The 19,156-nt window shown below is 40.2% G+C and overlaps 1 protein-coding gene across 4 annotated transcripts in view, besides 1 other annotated feature; it reads right to left on the bottom strand.

Annotated features, from left to right (window-relative positions):
* The window catches only part of YTHDC1 (YTH N6-methyladenosine RNA binding protein C1), a 39,704-nt gene extending 35,369 nt beyond the window's left edge, over positions 1-4,335 (bottom strand). For all 4 annotated transcript variants that reach the window (NM_133370.4, XM_005265708.4, NM_001031732.4 and 1 more), the window contains exon 1: positions 3,971-4,335. In NM_133370.4, coding sequence (NP_588611.2) covers positions 3,971-3,998 — 28 coding nt within the window. In that variant the 5' untranslated portion in view covers positions 3,999-4,335. The remainder of the gene's footprint in view (positions 1-3,970) is intronic.
* Positions 3,704-4,283: an enhancer, noted in NCBI's record as "NANOG-H3K27ac-H3K4me1 hESC enhancer chr4:69215177-69215756 (GRCh37/hg19 assembly coordinates)". NCBI's record gives its function as "activates a minimal SCP1, AML or CMV promoter by ChIP-STARR-seq in primed H9 embryonic stem cells {active_cell/tissue: H9 hESC(primed)}" and the evidence as "EXISTENCE:reporter gene assay evidence [ECO:0000049][PMID:30033119]".

Below are 19,156 nucleotides of genomic sequence, written 5' to 3' on the forward strand. Positions count from 1 at the left end.
ACTATAGTGAGGGCCATAGTATATACACATAGTATATACAAATGTTGTGGCACAGTCATCATTTTGATGTTCAGATACACAAATATTTCCCATTGTGTTACTACTGCCTACAGTAGCACGCCCAACAGATCTGTTGCCTAGGGACAATAGACTATACCATACAGCCTAGATATGTAGTAGGTTATGCCACCTAAGTTTGTGTAAACACACTATGATAACACAACAAAACCGCCTAACAATGCCCATCTTCATTGTTAAATGACACGACTGTGTTTGTGTGCACGTGACTGTGTGCATGTGTGTGCACATGACTGTGTGTGTACATATATATATATATATATATATACACACACACCTGCATGTAACCGTCTGTATAACGGCTGGGCACGGTGGCTCACACCTGTAATTCCAGCACTTTGGGAGGCTAAGGCAGGCAGACTGCTTAAGCCCGGGAGTTCAAGACAATCCTGGGCAACATAGGAAGACCTCGTCTCTACTAAAAATAAAAAATTAGCTGGGCATGGTGGCACACACCTGTAGTCCCAGCTACTAGGGAGCCCTTGGGAGGTTGGGGATGCAGTGAGCCGTGACTGCTCCACTGCACTCCAGCCTAGGCGACAGAAGCCGTCTGAAAACAACTGTGTGTATATATACAGTAGTCCCTCACTTATCCAAGGTTTTGCTTTTGAGGGTTTGTTACCCCCAGTCAACTGAGTCAATCACTGTCCAAAGATATAAAAATGGAGAATTCCAGAAATAATTCATAAGTTTTAAATTGTGCGCTAAGTAGTGTGATGAAATTACGCACTGTCCCACTCTGTCCTGCCTGGAAAATGAATCATCCCTTTGGTCAACAAATATTTGCATTGCATATGTTACCTGCCATTAGTCATTTAGTAACTGTCTCGGGTAGTAGATCAACTGTCCACATATGGCAGTGTCAGTGTTCAAAGTAACTCTTATTTTACTTAATAATAGCCCCAAAGCACAAGAGTAGTGATGATGGCATACTGTAATGACTGTTCTACTTTATTATTGTTGTGGTTGATCTCTTACAGTCCCTGACTTATAAATTAAACTTCATCATAGGTATATACATATAGAAAAAAACATAGTATAGATAGGATATAGTAATATCCATTGTTTCAGGTATCCACTGTGGATCTTAGAACGTATTTACCAGGAAAATAAGGCTGGTAGAGGTTGGGGGTCAGGGGAGAACTGTTGTATAACTTAAACTGAGAAACTCTTAGCTTTCGTTATCATACTGCACATGTCATTTAACCAGTCAGTCAATGAAGTCCAACCTGGTAAATACTCAAGGTACTGAAACACAATTACTGTATACAAAGAACCCAGTGAACAAGACAGATGTACTCCGGGCACTCAGGGAGCTTCTAGTCTGGTAATCTAGAAAACACGTTATTTTTAACACAGTAACTCATTACACATTACTCATACACATTTTGGATAGATTAAACTTTTGTAACTGTTCTTTGTAGAGAACTTTGTAAAAGATTAATACAATTTATACAAGGTGTTTGCAATAATAGAAAAGATGCATATTTCCTCCTTATATAGAAAAATGGCATTTAATATTAGTTAACACCAACATTGCAACACCTTTCAAATCCAGTTTCTTGGGCAAATTATCACCACAGGAATCACAGGGAGCTAGCAATCTGTCCACTTATATGGGCTGCAGCTTCTAGGTATGAGTATTATTGAAGCATTGTTATAGATTATAGAAATTCATGTCTTTATTACCCAGATAAGTGCAAAACCCCATCAAGAACTCTATGAACAAGGGTCTTTACTGTTCTGTGATTAATATAATTGCCAATTTCTGCAACTTATAGACTCATTTGCTATCAAGATCTTAAACCATTTATGGAATCATTTGAGAAAGAACTTAACGTTTGTGACATGACTGAGATTTTTAGAGGGTTTATCCTTATAATTTCCTGTTTCATGTAAGACAATAAAGCGCTTAAGAGTCCCACTTTTCCTTAAGAGAGGAAGACCTAAGTATTGATTCTAACTATAAAGCTAAGTGTGTGATGATGATCATCAAGTAAATGATACAACCTGTAGGTTACCTAGAACTCTCCCAAAACGAAATAAACAATTCCAGTAGGTAAGTGCTAGTTCTCCGTGTAGTCCAGAAACAATCTTTGTTCTAAACTATAAAGATAAAGCACTTACATCAAGTTTTTAAATAAAGTTATGAAAATTAAATAAAAAAAACTAAGCAAATGTGAGGCAAAGAACCTTTTCAAAAGTGGGGAAATGTATCCTATGTATAGACAACAGGTGATATCACTACTTCCCAGTAATAGCTACACAGTTTATGTATTTGGACTGCATTATCATCACTAAATCATTTCTAAAGCAAAACTTTTAAAATCATCTACTTTTCTTCTTCAATGTGCATTACTGCGTCTACTCTATTAACGACTTGTAAATATTTTCATCTTAGACAACGAATTCTTGAGAAGTACTGAATTTTACTCATTTTTGTGTTTGGTTCATTTCGCCCACCACAACCACTACAGACTCCCATATCCACAGTTCATAAATTAGAAAGACAATCAGATGTTTGCTGAATACTTACTAATTAAGATCATGTATTTTAATAACTGAGTTAACTAATTAAAAGCATTTTCCTTTACTCACTAACACCATACAATCCTATGTTCCCATTACTTCTGGATTTCTCAAAAAAAAAAAAAAAAAAGGCCCAGGGAGATTTTTTAGCATTTAGTTTAAGGATGGAACATTAAACTGCTATAACCTAATCAAAGAACTACTTTAGGATAAGGGCAGTATCTTAAAAGTATTCCCACCCATTCCACTTTCCCAGCTTGTCCCTAACCTAGGGCAGTTCATTGAAGCATGAAGACTCTCCTGATGCAGAAACCAGAAAAATTAAGAAAAAAGGATTACACGCCTAATGTAACTTGACTCTAGAGCCCACTTAACAACCCCCGACAAAAAAACCCCAAATCAATTAGGCACACAGAAGAGATGTGTGAGACACAGAGCAGCGACCGTGTCATATTTTTAACTATAATCTTTCCAAGACTATTATGTTAATCTTAGGGTTGAAAAAGATCTTAAAGCAGCATTTAATCTAGACCACTCTCCAGAGAGACACTGATCTAGGACCTACATTAATATCTCTAGGGCTTGGGAACTTAGTATTACTATCTTTCCATTACAGCAACGTCAGTTCTCTCTACATTTCACTGAAATTTATCCCTCCAACTCTCTGTAACTTGCATTCATTTGTTTCTGACTGTACCCTCTGGGAGCTACACACGGTTTTTCTAACATAATAGCACCCAGGATTTCTTTGCCAGCCTAAGTCACACAGTCATCTTTCCAAACTAAGTATTCCTTTTTCCAAGTACTATGTTTTTCCAAAATAAGTATTCGAGGAACAAAACGGGTAATTCACTTTGCCTATTTAACAGGAACAGCCAGAAGTTATTTGCAGATATTTCTCAAGATTAATAACCTGCCAGTGCCACTTCCTAAACTTGCTCACTTACCACACCACCAGTGTTGATCGCGGCATTAGGGGTTTTCAAATTTTAGCCTAACAGAAATGGTTGTCCTGAAAATACGCGTTACATCCGCATGATCCTACCAGGAAATAAACCTAGGAGCTTGCAACTCAGAAAGGGCCCCTCTCAGCCCAAGACAGCTAAACGGAAAGTCAAGCGTGAAATCCGCATCAAAGAAAAACCCTACTGAGATGAAGTGCTAGGCCATATGGAGACTGAGGACGAAAGGGCAGGCCTGGTCTCCGCCAGAGTCTAAGTGTCTCGGTGGGGGCCACCGGCTCCTCGCGAGGCCAGCTAACCTCCCCAACCCCCACCCCCCACCCCCAACGACGACCACTGCTCCATCACCCCACTCCCGGGCCCCAGCCTCGCCTCGGCCCGTCATCTTTCTCCGCACTAACCTTTCTCCTCCCGACTGTCAGCCGCCATGGCTCCCCTTCGGTTTCCGCCGCTGCCACCGCCGCCGCCGCTTAGACGCGACTCGCGCGGGCGCCGCAGCCGCGGCAGAAGCACGGGCCCGTCCGTCAGTCCGTCTGCCCGGATACGCGCGTCGCACTTGGCCTCTTAACACTCAGCCTTCTCGACTCTTCCCGCTTTTTCCCTTTCTCCCTTCCTTTCACTCCAGCATCCAGCGGCCTAGGCCCAGCCTTCTCGTTAGGGCTCAGACTCGGGCTAGGTATGGGGGAGGGAAGGGAAACAGATGGCGACGGCGGGCGGCGCTAAAATGGAGCCTGCTTCCTGCGCGAAACAATCCCGCTCCCGAAATGCCCTGCGCTGTTTACGCTTCGTTCCTCTCTGGGAACGTCACAGTGCGGAGAGGGGCGGGGAGGCGGGGACGTGCAAAGGAACGTGACGTGACGTCAGCGCGTCGCCCTGCCGCCCTCAGCCCACTGGTACCTGGAAGGAGTCTTATTCAGGGATTAGGTTACCCAGGTTGTTCATGGAGTTCCCGCTGTACGGCCTATAACTGGATGGCGCAATTTTCCCACCTGAAACTCTTAGTGCAGGGCCTAACAGGCCTTCTTAGCTAGAGTCGCTCTAAAGGACTCCTGATTCAGTTCGGGTAATCGGAGTCTTATTTAGGACAAGTCTGGGTGAATCCCTTATGTTTACCAGATGTACTTTCTTAGTTGGAGTTCCACTCTTACCCAAAGGCAGTGCAGCATGCAACCAGCTTGTTTGTAGTCACAAAAGCCTGCTAGTTTTTGTTTGTTTTGAGACGGAGTCTCGCTCTGTCGCTAGGTTGGAGTGCAGCAGCGCGATCTCGGCTCACCGCAACCTCCGCCTCCCAGGTTCAAGCGATTCTCCTGGCTCTGCCTCCTGAGTAGCTGGGACTACAGGCGCCCGCCACCACGCCCAGTTAATTTTTTTATTTTTAGTAGAGACGGGATTTCACCATGTTGGCCAGGATGAAGTGCTGGGATTACAGGCGTGAGCTACCACGCCCGGCCTAGTTTTGTTTTTAATTGGGGAAAGAATTGTATCATAATAGGTCTTTGTAATTAATAACTAATTTAAACATGTTATCAAGGCCCTGGGGCACAAAATTGATTTAAGCAGACCATCGAGGAATCGAAACTACAGAATAAATGACCAGTAGATACATAACTACATAGTGTGGTAAAATCTGCAAGAGAAACTTGCTTAAGATTCATTGTCCAACGGAAACAATCTAATTTTGCTTCCTTGAACTATAACTGAGTTATAAGGGAAAGAAAAATCTGAAAAAGGTAACTAAGTAACTTCGTGATATGAAGACAAACTGGCAAACTAACTGCATATTCAGGGAAAGACAAGTAGTCTAGAAGTCTAGAATGTGGTACCTCTTTTTTTTTGAGACGTGGTCTCACTGTGACACAGGCTGGAGTGCAGTGGTGTGATCATGGCTCACTGCAACCTTGGGCTCAAGTGATCCTCCCACCTTAACCTCCCAGGTAGCTGGAACTACAGGCATGCTCCACCACATCCGACACATTTTTTGCATTTTTTGTGGAGATATACCATCTCCGCAAGATGGCTAACACCTAGCCATCTTGCCCAGGCTAGTGTCTAAATCCTGGGCTCCAGCAATCCTCCCACCTCGGCCTCCCAAAGTGCGGGATTACAGGTGTGAAGCCACCAGGAGTGGCCCCATTTCTAGGACCTTAATTGAACACTAATTTGAATATACGAACACGCACACGCCACAAACACACACACACACACACATTAAATAATATCTGATGATCCTGAGGAATTGCTATTTGTATTTTTAGTTTTAATAAGTTTTGCTTTTTAAAGAATTTCTTATAATTTCATGATTCATATGAAAATATTTGCAGGCCAGATGCAGTGGCTCATACCTGTAATCCCAGCACTTCGGGAGGCCCAGGCGGGCGGATCACCTGTGGTCAGGAGTTTGAGACCAGCCTGACCAATATGGTGAAACCCCGTCTCTGCTAAAAATACAAAAATTAGCCAGGCATGATGGCATGCGCCTGTAGTCCCAGCTACTCGGGAGGCTAAGGCAGAATTGCTTGAACCCGGGAGGCGGAGGTTGCAGTGAGCTGAGATTGTGCCACTTTCACCCCAACCAGGACAACAGAGCTAGACTCTGTCTCAAAATAATAATAAGAATAGTAATAAATATTTGCAAATGAAATTATATGGTATCTGGGATTTATCAAACTGGTGGCAGGTGTAGCGAAATGGGTAGGAGAATAGATTAAACAAGTCTACCCATGAGTTAACAATTGTTGAAGCTGGGCGATACATATGTGAAAGGAAAATCTCCCCAACATCACTAAGCCAAAGGAAGAAGTCAAGCTGGTGATTGATGTCTCATGTATCCCTAAAATGTATAAAATGAAGCTGTGCACGACCACCTTGGGCACATGTCATCAGGACAGCTTGAGGCTGTCATGGGCTCTTTCTTAACCTTGGCAAAATAAACTTTCTAAATTGATTGAGACCTGCCTCAGATACCTTTTGATTTCCACATACATTAGTTAATATTATACTCTCTTCTCTACTTTTTTGCATATTTGAGTTTCCTTTAATAATTTTTTGTAAAGAAGAGCATAAGAAAACAGCCAAGTAATTTAGAAGATATCAAAATGCCATTTTCCCTGATTCTACATTTGTCCTATTAGAACTAAGGAGTAATTTTTAATGTAAATAGAATTCCATATTTGCATCTTTGTTATTAAAATAAGTTTATGGGGCCAGCTGCAGTGGCACATGCCTGTAATTCCAGCCCTTTGGGAGGCCAAGGCAGGTGGATCACTTGGGCTCAGGAGTTTTAAGACCAGCTTGGGCAACCTGGCGAAACCACATCTCTGCAGAAAATAAAATAAAAAATAGCTGGTCATGGTGGTGCACACCTGTAGTCCCAACTTCTCTGGGGGCCAAAGTGGGAGGATTGCTTGAGCCGGCGAGGTCAAGGCTGCAGTGAGACATGATTACGCCTCTGCACTCCAGCCTGGGCAACAGAGCTGGACCCTGTCTCAAAAAATAAAATGAAGTAAGTTTATGTTAAACTAAGAGCACAGCTGTAAAAAAATGCGGTTTTTAATTCAGTCATGTTAGTAAATAGGAAAAGTTGTTGAGGTTATAAAGGATGAACTCTAGGTATGTTGAACATTGGTCTGAAGCTATTGTGTAGTGATTAAGAGAGTAAGCTTTGCAGTCATAATGACGTGGGTACAAATTCCAGCTCTGTCTCTCAATAGCATGAGACCTTAGAGAAATTAACTTCTAATCTTTAGTATCTTAATAAATGGGAATTTAGAAATAATTTCCAAAGGATTGCTATAATGTTTCAAATGATTTTTTTAAAGGCAGTTAAGTGATCAATAAGCTGGAGCTATTGTTATTTTTATTGTTTCTGTAGTTCAGGAAAGATGGATTGTTCTAACAATTATTGTTGGTGAACTTAACCAGAAAATGTAGTATTGAGTGACTCAGATTTTTGGCCTAGCTATGGGTGGAAATAACTTTCTGGGTAAAGATGCTGAACTAAAAACTTGCAGCCAAAAATCCTCTTCAGACCTCAGGGATCATCACAATATAATTGTAAAAATATAACAATGAACATGGAAGTACAGATATCTCTTTTGAGAGCCTGATTTCAATTGTTTTGGATATATACACAGAAATAGAATTGCTGGATCATATGGTAGTTCTATATTTGAGGAACTTCCATACTCTTTTTTTTTTTTATATAGTCGCTGCACCGTTTTACATTCCTGCTATGGTGTATAAGTATTCCAATTTCTCCGTATCCTTGCCAAAACCTGGTATCTTTTGAAACAACTTATACGTCTGTTGAAAGATGAATGGGTTAAAAAACATATGGTTTATACATTCAATTGAATACTATTCAGTCTTAAAAAAGAAGAAAATCGGCCAGTCACAGTGGCTTATGCCTGTAATCTCGGCACTTTGGGAGGCCAAGGCAAGCCGATCACTAGACGCCAGGAGTTGGAGATCAGCTTGGCATACATGGCGAAACCCCATCACTACTAAAAATACAAAAGTTAGCCTGGCATGGTAGCTCGCACCTGTAATCCCAGCTACTCAGGAGGCTGACAGGACAATCGGTTGAGCCTGGGAGGCAGAGGTTGTAGTGACCCGAGATCGCACCACTGCACTCCAGCCTAGGCCGCAGAGGAGAGACTGTGTCTCAAATAAAAATAAAAATAAAAATAAAAAAAGGAAATCTTGCTGTATGTAACAACATGAATGACCCTGGAGGATGTTCTGCTAAGTGAAATAAATCAGTCGGAGAAGGACAAATACTGTACTGCATGATTCCACTTCTATGAAGTATCTAAAATATTCACATTCACGGAAACAGTAAGATGGTTGTTGCCAGGGACTAGGGGGAAAGGGAAATGGGGAGTTGCTGTTCAACAGGTATAAAGTTTTATTTCTGCAAGACAAATAAGTTATAGAGAGCTGCTGTACAATGTTGTGCCTGCTGTTAATGATACTGTATTCTGCACTTAACATTTTGTTGAGGGTAGATTTCATGTTCAAGGTTCTTACTGCAATAAAATTTTTTTTAAAAAACCTCAATAATTACCAAAAAATTATTTCAATATGTAGTAAAAAGAAATATAATGCTTCTGAAGGCAGTTCCTTTTGTACTGATGATAACGAATTGTGAATTGAGATGAGTGGAATTTAGCAATAAAAAGTGTCAAGAGCATTGGGCAATATTGATGTCAATTCTACCTAATTTCATCTATAGATTTGGAACAATCCCAATCAAAACCTCAGTGCTTTTTAACAGAAATTCACAATATTGAGTTTCTTGTTAATTGAAATTTACAAGGAAAGGTAATGGATATAGGATATCGAAAACAATTTTGGAAAACAACAACAATTTTGGAGGACTAGCATTACCTGATTTCAGGGCTTACTACAAACTTATGGTATCAAGATAGTGTGGTATTTATGTAAAGTAAGACAAATACATCAATAGATCAGAACACAGTGTCCAAAAGTAGAGTCACAGATATTATGGTCAATTGAATTTGACAAAGGTACCAACATAATTGAAATGTGTAGAAGGATAGCCTTTTCGACAAATAGTGTTGAGGCAATTAGATATACATATGGAAATAAATGACCGTGACCCCTACCTTACATAATACACAAAAATTAATTCAAAATGGATGATAGGTCTAAATATAAAAGTTGTTTTAAAACTTCTAGAAGAAAACATGGGAGAAAATTTTTACCACCTTGGAGTAGGAAAAGATTTCTCATATAAAATAATCACAAGTCCTAACATTTTTAAAAATTAATACAATTGCAGCTCAAAAAATTAAAATGTTATGGTCTTTAAAAGATGCTAAATGAATAAGTAAGTGAATAAGGCACATTACAGACTAGGAGAAAATAGTTACAAAACATTTGTCCAACAAAAGACTCGTAGGATATATACAGAGAGAGGACTTGCTACTCAGTAAAAAGACAAATATCCCAATTTGAAAAAATAGACAAAAGACTTCATCATAGAAGATGTGTTGAACAGGCAATTATCACATCATTGTCATCATGAAATATCACTTCAATCCCACTGGAATGGCTAAAATTAATAAGATTGGAAATAGCAAGTGTCGCACAGGCATGGTGGCTCACACCTGTAATCCTAGCACTTTGGGAGGCTGAGGCGGGAAGATTGTTTGGGCTTGGAGTTTGAGACCAGCCTGGGCAACATAGTGAGACATCTCTACAAAAAATTTTAAAAATTAGCAGGGCATGGTAGCACATGCCTGTAGTCCCAGCTATTTGGGAGGCTGAAGTGGGAAGAACTCTTGAGCCTGGGGAGGAGAGGGCTGCAGTGAGCCCTGATTACACCACTGCACTCCATCCTGGGTGACAGAGTAAGACCCTGTGTCAATAAATAAATAAATACATAATAAAAAATGAAAATAGCAAATGTTGGCAAGGATCTGAAGCAATTAGAGCATTTATACTTTGCTAGTAGGAATATAAAATAGTACAACCACTTTGGAAAACAGTAGTAATTATTTATTATGAATCTAAACAAGTACTTATCATAGGACCCAATATTTCCCCTCCTAACAAAAACAAATTGTGTCATATTTATCAGTCAAAATACTGCTCAGCAATAAAACAAAAACTACACATGACAACATGGATGAATCTCACATATATGCTGAGTGAAAGATGCTGGACACAATATGGTTGAGATGACACTAGTCATTAAGAAATAAATCACATTTGTGGTTCCCAGGTGCAAGAATGTTGGGGAAGTTTAATGGCAAAGGAGCATGAGAAACCTTCTAGGGAGATGGAAATGCTCTATATCTTGATTGTTGTGGTGGTTACGTGGATGAATACAAAGACTCTCTCCTTGACCAAACTTAGTCAGGCTCCTCTGATACCTTTTGTCAACTAGACCTTGACCTTAGGCTTCCATGTCTTTATTTGTTCAGTTTTAGCTAGACTCCTGCTAAGTCACTTTAGTAAGAGTCCCTTGCTTTTGGTATCTGGTCACCTTCAAAATCTGATCAAATTCATTATTCTCTACCTTCCCCCAGATGATATCTGATCACCCTAACCTGCCTTTAGAAAGAATACTATCAAATCAGTTTAGCAAGAATCTCCTCTTACCCCTTGCTATGATTTGGATGTTTGTCCCCTCCAAAATCATGTTGAAATTTAATTGCCATTGTAACAGTATTAAGAAGTGAGACCCTTAAGAGGTGATTAGGCAATAAAGGCTCCACCCTCATAAGTGGGACTGATATTATAAAAAGGAGACTTCAACCCTCTGTTGGCCTTTTTGCCTTCCACCATGGAATGATGCTGCAAGAAGGCTCTTACCAGATGTCAGCACCTTGACATTGAACTTCTCAGCTTTCTGAACTATGAACCAATAAATTTCTGTTCATTATAAATGACCCAGTCTCTTGGGCCAGGCATGGTGGCTCACGCCTGTAATCCCAGCACTTTGGGAGGCCAAGGTGGGTGGATCACTTGAGATCAGGAGTTCAAGACCAGCCTTATCAACATGGAGAAACCCCGTCTCTACTAAAAATACAAAATTAGCCAAGCGTGGTGGTTCATGCCTGTAATCCCAGCTACTCAGGAGGCTGAGACAGGAGAATCGCTTGAACCCGGGAAGCGGAGATTTCAGTGAGCCGAGATTGCGCCATTGCACTCCAGCCTGGGCATACAGAGCAAGACTCCGTCTCAAAAAAAAATAAATAAATAAATAAATAAATAAATAAATTACCCAGTCTCAGGTATTCTGTTACAGCAGCACAAAATGGACAAAGACACCCCTAATGTTTCCTCTTAGTAATTTTCAATCCACTGACCCCCAACCCTGTTCATTTGCTATAAATCTCCCCTTGTTCATGCTGTATTCAGAATTGAGCCCAATTCCATACTGAGGTTTATTTTCCTACATTGCAATATTTACTAAATAAAATTTGTTTTTTCTGCTCTAGCTACTATTCAACTGTGATTTTCTTTAACAGTGTAATGCAGCAGAGTCATTTGTGTTGTGCCAAGTTCCTGCCTGTGAAATTTAGCATATGTTGTAGTTTTAAAATAACTAACATTTTACCAATACATTTACTTATAACTTCTTTTTGACATATATTATCTTATTTAACATTCTGAAACAGCTTGTGATTTAATTACAATAACACCAATTATATTTTTAATTGAAAAATAAATAAAAGGAATATTTAAATATCACTGGGTATTCTTAAATTTGGAAATGTATTAATCTTCAGATTTAAGACCAGGTACCTAAGCCTTTTCTTCCACAGTAGGATGTCAATGTTAAATTTTCATTTAGCTTTTACATGTACCACAGAATGCAGCCTTGAATCCTTTAATAGCAATTATATTGGTTTATTGAGTTTCATAACAGGAAATAGACTATCAAAATATAAGTACTTCCAAAAAAAGATAACATTTTACAAGGCCCTTTTTTGGAAAACATGGTTAATTATTCCTGAGATATTTATAGAATTCTGGAATTCTGAAGTTGTTCTGCTTACTTTTGAGTAATATCGGTAGCTGACATTTTCTGAGTACTGACTGTGCCCAATCTGCTCTGTGTGCTGCCTATATTTTACCTCACTTAATTCTTATCACAGTCTTATAAGGGATTTTTTTTTTTTTTTTGAGACAGAGTATGCCCTATGTGGCCCAGGCTGGAGTGCAGTGGTGCGATCTTGGCTCACTGCAACCTCTGTTTCCTGGGTTCAAGCGATTCTCCTTCCTCAGCCTCCCGAGTAGCTAGGACTATAGGCAAGCACCACCATGCCTGGCTAATTTTTGTATTTTTAGTAAAGATGGGTTTTTGCCATGTTGGCCAGGCTGGTCTCGAACTCCTGACCTCAAGTGATCTGCCCACCTCAGCCTCCCAAAGTGCTGGAATTACAGGCATGAGCCACAGCGCCTGACTTGTTATCTTTATTAGGAACAAAGTTTCTTCTGAGTAAACATTTAGTCTTTTTGTTGTTGTTGTTGTTGTTGTTGTTGAGACAGGGTCTCGCTCTGTTGTCTAGGCTGGAGTGCAGTGGCATGATATCGGCTCACTACAATCTCCTCCTCCTGGGTTCAAGCATTCTTCTGCCTCATCCTCCCAAGTAGCTGAGATTACAGGTGCGCGGCACCATGCCTGGCTAATTTTTTGTTGTTTTAGTAGAGATGGGGTTTCACTATGTTGGCCAGGCTGGTCTCAAACTCCTGGCCTTAAGTGATCCGCCTACCTCGGCCTCCCAAGGTGGTGGGATTACAGTTGTGAGCCATCACGCCGGCTTCTTGGTGGCATCTTGATACAGGGTGTGCTGGATATCTGTGGCCACCCTGATCAATTTTCCACCTTGCTCTATTCCTTAAGAATCTCATTCATAGGGACTACACAATAATCGTTTATCTTCTCTCAGTTTTGGTTGAGTTCAGGCATTTGAAGATAGGAAGAAAGTAAGGGTTTTGAACTATTTATTTTCATGGCTCCCTCTATGTAGGGTTAACATAGGGTAGCTCTGTCTCTCTATCTATGACCTCAATTCCTTTTCAACCCTATCTATACATCTATTCTATCTGGGCTCTAGTAACTCTGCCTTCCACTTGCCCATCCAGGCCCAGGGTAGTGCTATGGAATGAACTCCCATCCACCCCCAAATTCATATGTTGAAGCCCTATTCCCCAATATGACTATATTCGAAAATAAGACCTTAAGGAGGTTATTAAACTTAAATGAGTTCATAAGGGTGTGGTCCTGATCCAGTTGGGTTAATGTACTTATTAAAAGAGACACCAGAGAGCTTGCTTTCTCTTCTCATTCAGGCACCAAGGAAGGGCCATGTGAGGACAAAGCAGCTGTCTGTAAGCCAGGAAGGGAGCCCTCACCAGATATTGTACCCTGTTAGAACGAACCTTGATCTTGGACTGTCCAGTCTCTAAAACTGTAAGAAAATTAACTTCTGTTGTTTAAGCCATCCAGTCTGTGGTATTTTGTTATGGAAGCCCAGGCTGACTAATTGGGATAGTAAGGCACTATCTTGTATAGTTTCTTAACACTCTGCCCGCACTTTTGTAAAGAGTCCCTTTATTAAACTCCCCCTAATTGGCATTCATGCTGTTTTCTGATAGGATCCTGATTCATACAAAGCAGACAATCAGAGAACATTACCCAAGCTAAGAAGAGTGACTGACCCAAATGTTCTCCTTCTCTCCTGGAACTTGAAGGCATAATAAGAGTGCATCTTATTTCTCTTGGTAGTTAGGCTTCAGTTTCTGTTTCTGTTTTGAAGTGTATGAGACTGCTGTAACTCATGCTCTGTTCTTTTGGCCCAGCCAATGTATGGCAGTTTCTTATAAGGATCACAACCCACCATCTCCTCAGGCTGACCAGATTCTTCACTTCAGCTCTTGCTGGTACTGTGGATTTTTCAAGACTCACTTATGTGCATACTCCATTTGACCCTAGCACTGGCCTTTGCAGTGGTGACTCCTTGGAGAAAAACTCACTCAGTCCATGGTTAACTTGCACACACCTCCAGAGTTACATGGGCATTTCTAGTTCTCTTCACATCTTGGGAAACCAAGAGACAATCTCCTAGGCTCCCCCTGCTTAAACATGCTACTTAACCATTTTAACTCTACTGTGGCCTTCACATTGGCTCTAGGCACTCTGCTTCCAAAATTCCAAACAGGAAGTGGGGTGCAAATCCTATGTACTTTCACTTAATGTCTCTGTAGACATTCAGAAGCACATTTCCACCCAATTTCCCTCTGACCCTCTTCTTGGACAAAGTTTTTGTGATAACCACTTTGATGATAAAGAATCTAGTGAGGCCTTAAGATACAACCTAAGAAAGAAGGTCAAAAACTGCAAAGTAGAAAGAACATTTAGATTTCTACAACTTTTGCAATTTCTTGTGTATGTGACGTTTGTCTCCTTATACCACAGAGATTACCAAAACAGGCACCAGAGGAAAAAAAAGATGATCACCACCACCACCACCACCATTTAATAAATAATGTGTTTAGCATAACTTCAGGATGAGAAAAGAAGATTAGAGCTGGTGGGACAGTGATTCTAAGACTTCTCAGAGGTGATTTCCAGGATGACTACTCCAAAGAGAAGAGGCAAGTAAACTGCAGTCCTCAGGACCTGTTGCTAAGAAGAAAAGAAATTCTGAAGAATCAATTCAGATCTGAAAATATTGGACTGGGTCGAAACACACTTGAAAATATAATCTGTCATACATTTTCTCATTGCTTAGGAGTATGGGCTTGGGCATAAATAAGATTAGCATTTTAGCAAACATTTACTGCTTAGAAGCTATGTGAACGTGGAGAAGTGTAACACAGAGGTGAAGAGCCCTGGCTCCAGAGTTAGGGATGTGGCTTGAATCCTCGCTCTGCTACCCAGAGCAAATTATTTACTTCTTTGAGCAAATTATTTACTTCTTTGAACCTCATTTTGTTTTCTTTAACTAGGATAGCTAATCCAATAGTTTTTTCTTCATCAAGTCATATGTGAAGTACTTATCACTAACCTGTTGTGTGTATGCATGTTAGTGCTAAGTACTTCAGCAATTGATCATCATTATTATCAACCTGAGAAAACTCACTTTACTCTTGTCAAAGGAAAATAAATCTCAGGACCCAAAAATCACTAAGCCAAAGGGAAGTCAAGCTGGGAACTGCAATGGGCACACCTGCCTCCCATTCTATTCCTAAATAAGATAGCTACAAAAATTAAAAAGCTACATGCTTCCCTTGCAGTTTTCCCATAAGGAAATTCCTTGTGAACAAGAGACGGAACTCAGAGTCATCCCTGTGCTCACGTGAGTCAGAGTCCAGCCTGGGCAGCATAGTGAGGCCCTGTCTCGACAAAAATTTAAAAACTTAGCTGAGTGTGATTGTGTGGTTGGCTCATGCCTGTAGTTCCAATTACTTGGGAGGCTGAGGTGGGAGGATTGCTTGAGCCAGGTTGCTCAATGCTGCAGTGAGGTATGACACTGCCACTGCATGTCAGCCTGGAAGACAGAGTCAGATCCTATCTCTGGAAAAAAAAAATGCTTGTAGAATGTAAACATGAGGCCCTGTCTCTACAAAAAGTTGCTTGGGTGTGGTTGAGCCCAGGAGTTTGAGGTTGCAGTGAGCAATGATTGCACCATTGCATTCCAGCCTGGATAACAGAGTAAGATACTGTTTGAAACAGGAAAAAGAAACAAAAACAACATTTGTATGTGGGTATGTTTTATTTCCGGGGGGCTGCTATAACAAAGTATTATAGATTGTGTCTTCATATTTTGGAAGGGGAAAACAAGCTCATTGGGGCCGCTTTTTTAAGGGCACTAATCCCATTTATGAGGGCTCTTCTGTCACGATCCAATCACCATCCAAAGGCCCAACCTCTTAATACCAACACCTTGGGGCTTAGAATTTCAACAAACGGATTTTGGAGGCAGGGGACATAAATGTTCTGATAGCAGGGCTTTTTAGAAGTGTCATGAATAATTAAATTCTAATCATGGTAGCCAAGCCATGTATCAGCTTTCTTATAACTTAATTAGAATGCCAAATACTGTGGAAGAAACAATAACATTGCAAGCAAATGTGTTATTGTTACTTTGAAGGAAGTTATCTTCTAGTATAGTAGAAGTAGTAGATATTGTAGTGGGGTAAAACGTGTTTTCTGACAATGACTCCTTTTACCAGTAGTGAACTGGTAAATGTTTAACAACCAGCTCTCCAGAAAAACAAAATAAAACAAAACTTATTTGTAATGTTTGTCAATTTATGTGGTGTAATTACTCCTGCCATGACCAATTTCAAACTATCTATGTGACATCTCATCACTGAACACAGGAAGAAATGAGAAGTAACAAAATTTTATAGTATTTTCACCATACAGGTGCAATAATTGTAAATATAAATAACCTCAAGAACAAATAATATTAAGTTATAATTGAAAGAATCAGGAAGTGGTGAATTTTGAATATTTATTACTTTTGTATTTAATATAGTTTACTTAACTATACTTAATATTATTAACTTTGTATAATTTATTTTTTAATAATCCCTATGTTTAACAACCAGTCTACAAAAATTTTAAAAATTTAACAACTGGCTCTTATAAGTCATTACAGGCAAGCTTCAGCACACCATTATGCTTAACTGCCCCTCAGATACACAGCACTCATAGCTATATATGTATGATTTTATAGGATATCCTGGCCACAGCTGATGAGAGTAAATAGGGATGGGAATAGGTTCAATGTCACTTCTCCCAGAATTTGGAAAGGGAATCAGACTGGAAATCATCCTGTTTGTGTGGCTGAAACTATAACTCATGAAAATTTGAAGTTACAGGCAGTCACTTTTTGACCATTATGTGGACTTAGTAGTAAATAAGATTTATCTTCCAGTATAGAAGCATAAAAATATGCAAAGGGAAACCAGAAATGGGGAAACACATCTCATTTGTCTTAAAGCATTCTAGATTTCAGCGGCAGTTCTTGAGACCTGGTTGCATTCTACCCTTCGATTTGGACAGATACATTTACCCTCACAGTAGTTTTCCTTTTCCTCTAATATAACTCGAATTGCTTTTTGTTATTTGCAAACAAAAAGATGGACATGAAGGAAAAAGGAAATAGCAAAATACGCAAAATAATAAGCGTAGTATAATACTGGGTGAAAAATGTTCAATTGCTCTATAGCTCATAGATCAAAATAGAGAACTTTGCCCTAACTCTATTCGTAGATAATGAACATTAGGATAAATATTTCAACTCTCCTTTTTGAGAAAACCACAATCTAAATACAGCTACCTTTCTCTGTAGATTCTACTGTAATGTGTGCTTGGATTTAACTGCCTCTCATTGTAAACAAGATTGTTTTGAGGCAGCTGAAAGGTAAAGAGCTTTCCTTTGGCAAGCTCAACAACTCTTGTGACTTAATCATCATCTATACAAGAATGATTACTTCAGTCAGACTTCTCACCTGATGTCAGTTGTTTCCTTGACATCTTTTCTTAGATGTCTCATGATTAGCTCAATTTTAAAAAGCTCAACAGTACCCCCTTGATCCACCACTACCCACACTGTCCACTAACCTACTCATGCTAGGGATCTGGGAATTAGCCTTCTCCTCACCTCACATCTCCAGCACTTGCAGTACAGTGGGGAAGTGAGGGTGAAGGGGAAAGGGAGCTAAGGTACAGACAATGGCTAATTTACATCTCTTGGTGGCAAGTGTTACAACAGGAATAGTATACAACACTATAGAGACATACAATGGGAATAAATCCATGAGTTAGTCATATGCTCCTTTCTAGACCGTTCTCTGGGTACTCACTGCCTGAAAAACATGATTTTTTCTTACAGGTTTCAGCTAATTCTGCATCTCACCAAGAAATTTTTCCTTGACAACCTCTCCCTAACAGAATTAGTTGTCTCTGTTGTGTTCCTGTAACCGAGTATCCCCATTTTTCTTAAGAAAAAGGGAATGAATAACTATTATTATTTTCTCTTCTCTTTTTCCTTTTCCCCTTGATATGGTTTGGCTCTGTGTCCCCACCCAAATCTCATCTGAAATTGTAATCCTTCCCCATGTGTCAAGGAAGGGACCTGGCCATGGGGCGATAGGATCATGGGGGCAGTTTCCCTCATGGTGTTCTCAAAAGATCTGAGTTCTCAAAAGTGAGAAGTGAGTTCTCAAAAGATCTGACAGTTTAAAGGTGTGTGGCAGTTCCCCCTTCATTCTCTCCTGTCACCTTGTGAGAAGGTGCTTGCCTCTCCTTCACCCTTTACCATGATTATAAGTTTCCTGAGGCCTCCTCAGCCATGTGGAACTGTGAAGCAATTAAACCTTTTTTAAATAAATGAGCCAGTCTCGAGTAGTTCTTCATAGCAGTTTAACAATGGACTAATACAGAGAATTGGTACTGGAGTTTGAGGCACTGCTATAAAGATACTTGAAAATGCAGAAGTGACTTTGGAACTGGATAATGGGCAGAGGTTGGAACAGTCTGGCGTGCTCAGAAGAAGACAGAAAGACATGGGAACAAGTTTGGAACTTCTTAGAGTCTAGTTGAGTGATTTTGACCAAAATGCTGATATTGATATGGACAATGAAGTTCAGGCTGAGATGGTCTCAGATGGAGATAAGGAACTTATTGGGAACTGGAGTAAAGGTCACTCTTGATATGCTTTACTCCAGAGACTGGCAGCATTTTGCCCCTGCCCTGGAGATCTGTGGAACTTTGAACTTGAGAGAGATGATTTAGGTTATCTGGAAGAATAAATTTCCTTTTTTTTTGAGACAGAGTCTCGCTCTGTCACCCAGGCTGGAGTGCAGTGGCACGATCTCGGCTCACTGCAAGCTCCGCCTCCCAGGTTCACACCATTCTCCTGCCTCAGCCTCCCAAGTAGCTGAGACTACAGGCACCCACCACCACACCCAGCTACTTTTCTGTATTTGTTTAGTAGAGACGGGGTTTCACCATGTTGGCCAGGATGGTCTCAATCTCCTGACCTCGTGATCTGCCTGCCTCAGCCTCTGAAAGTGCTGGGATTACTGGCATGAGC

Source organism: Homo sapiens, chromosome 4 (genome assembly GCF_000001405.40).
Source record: "Homo sapiens chromosome 4, GRCh38.p14 Primary Assembly".
NCBI classification, from domain to species: domain Eukaryota; kingdom Metazoa; phylum Chordata; class Mammalia; order Primates; family Hominidae; genus Homo; species Homo sapiens.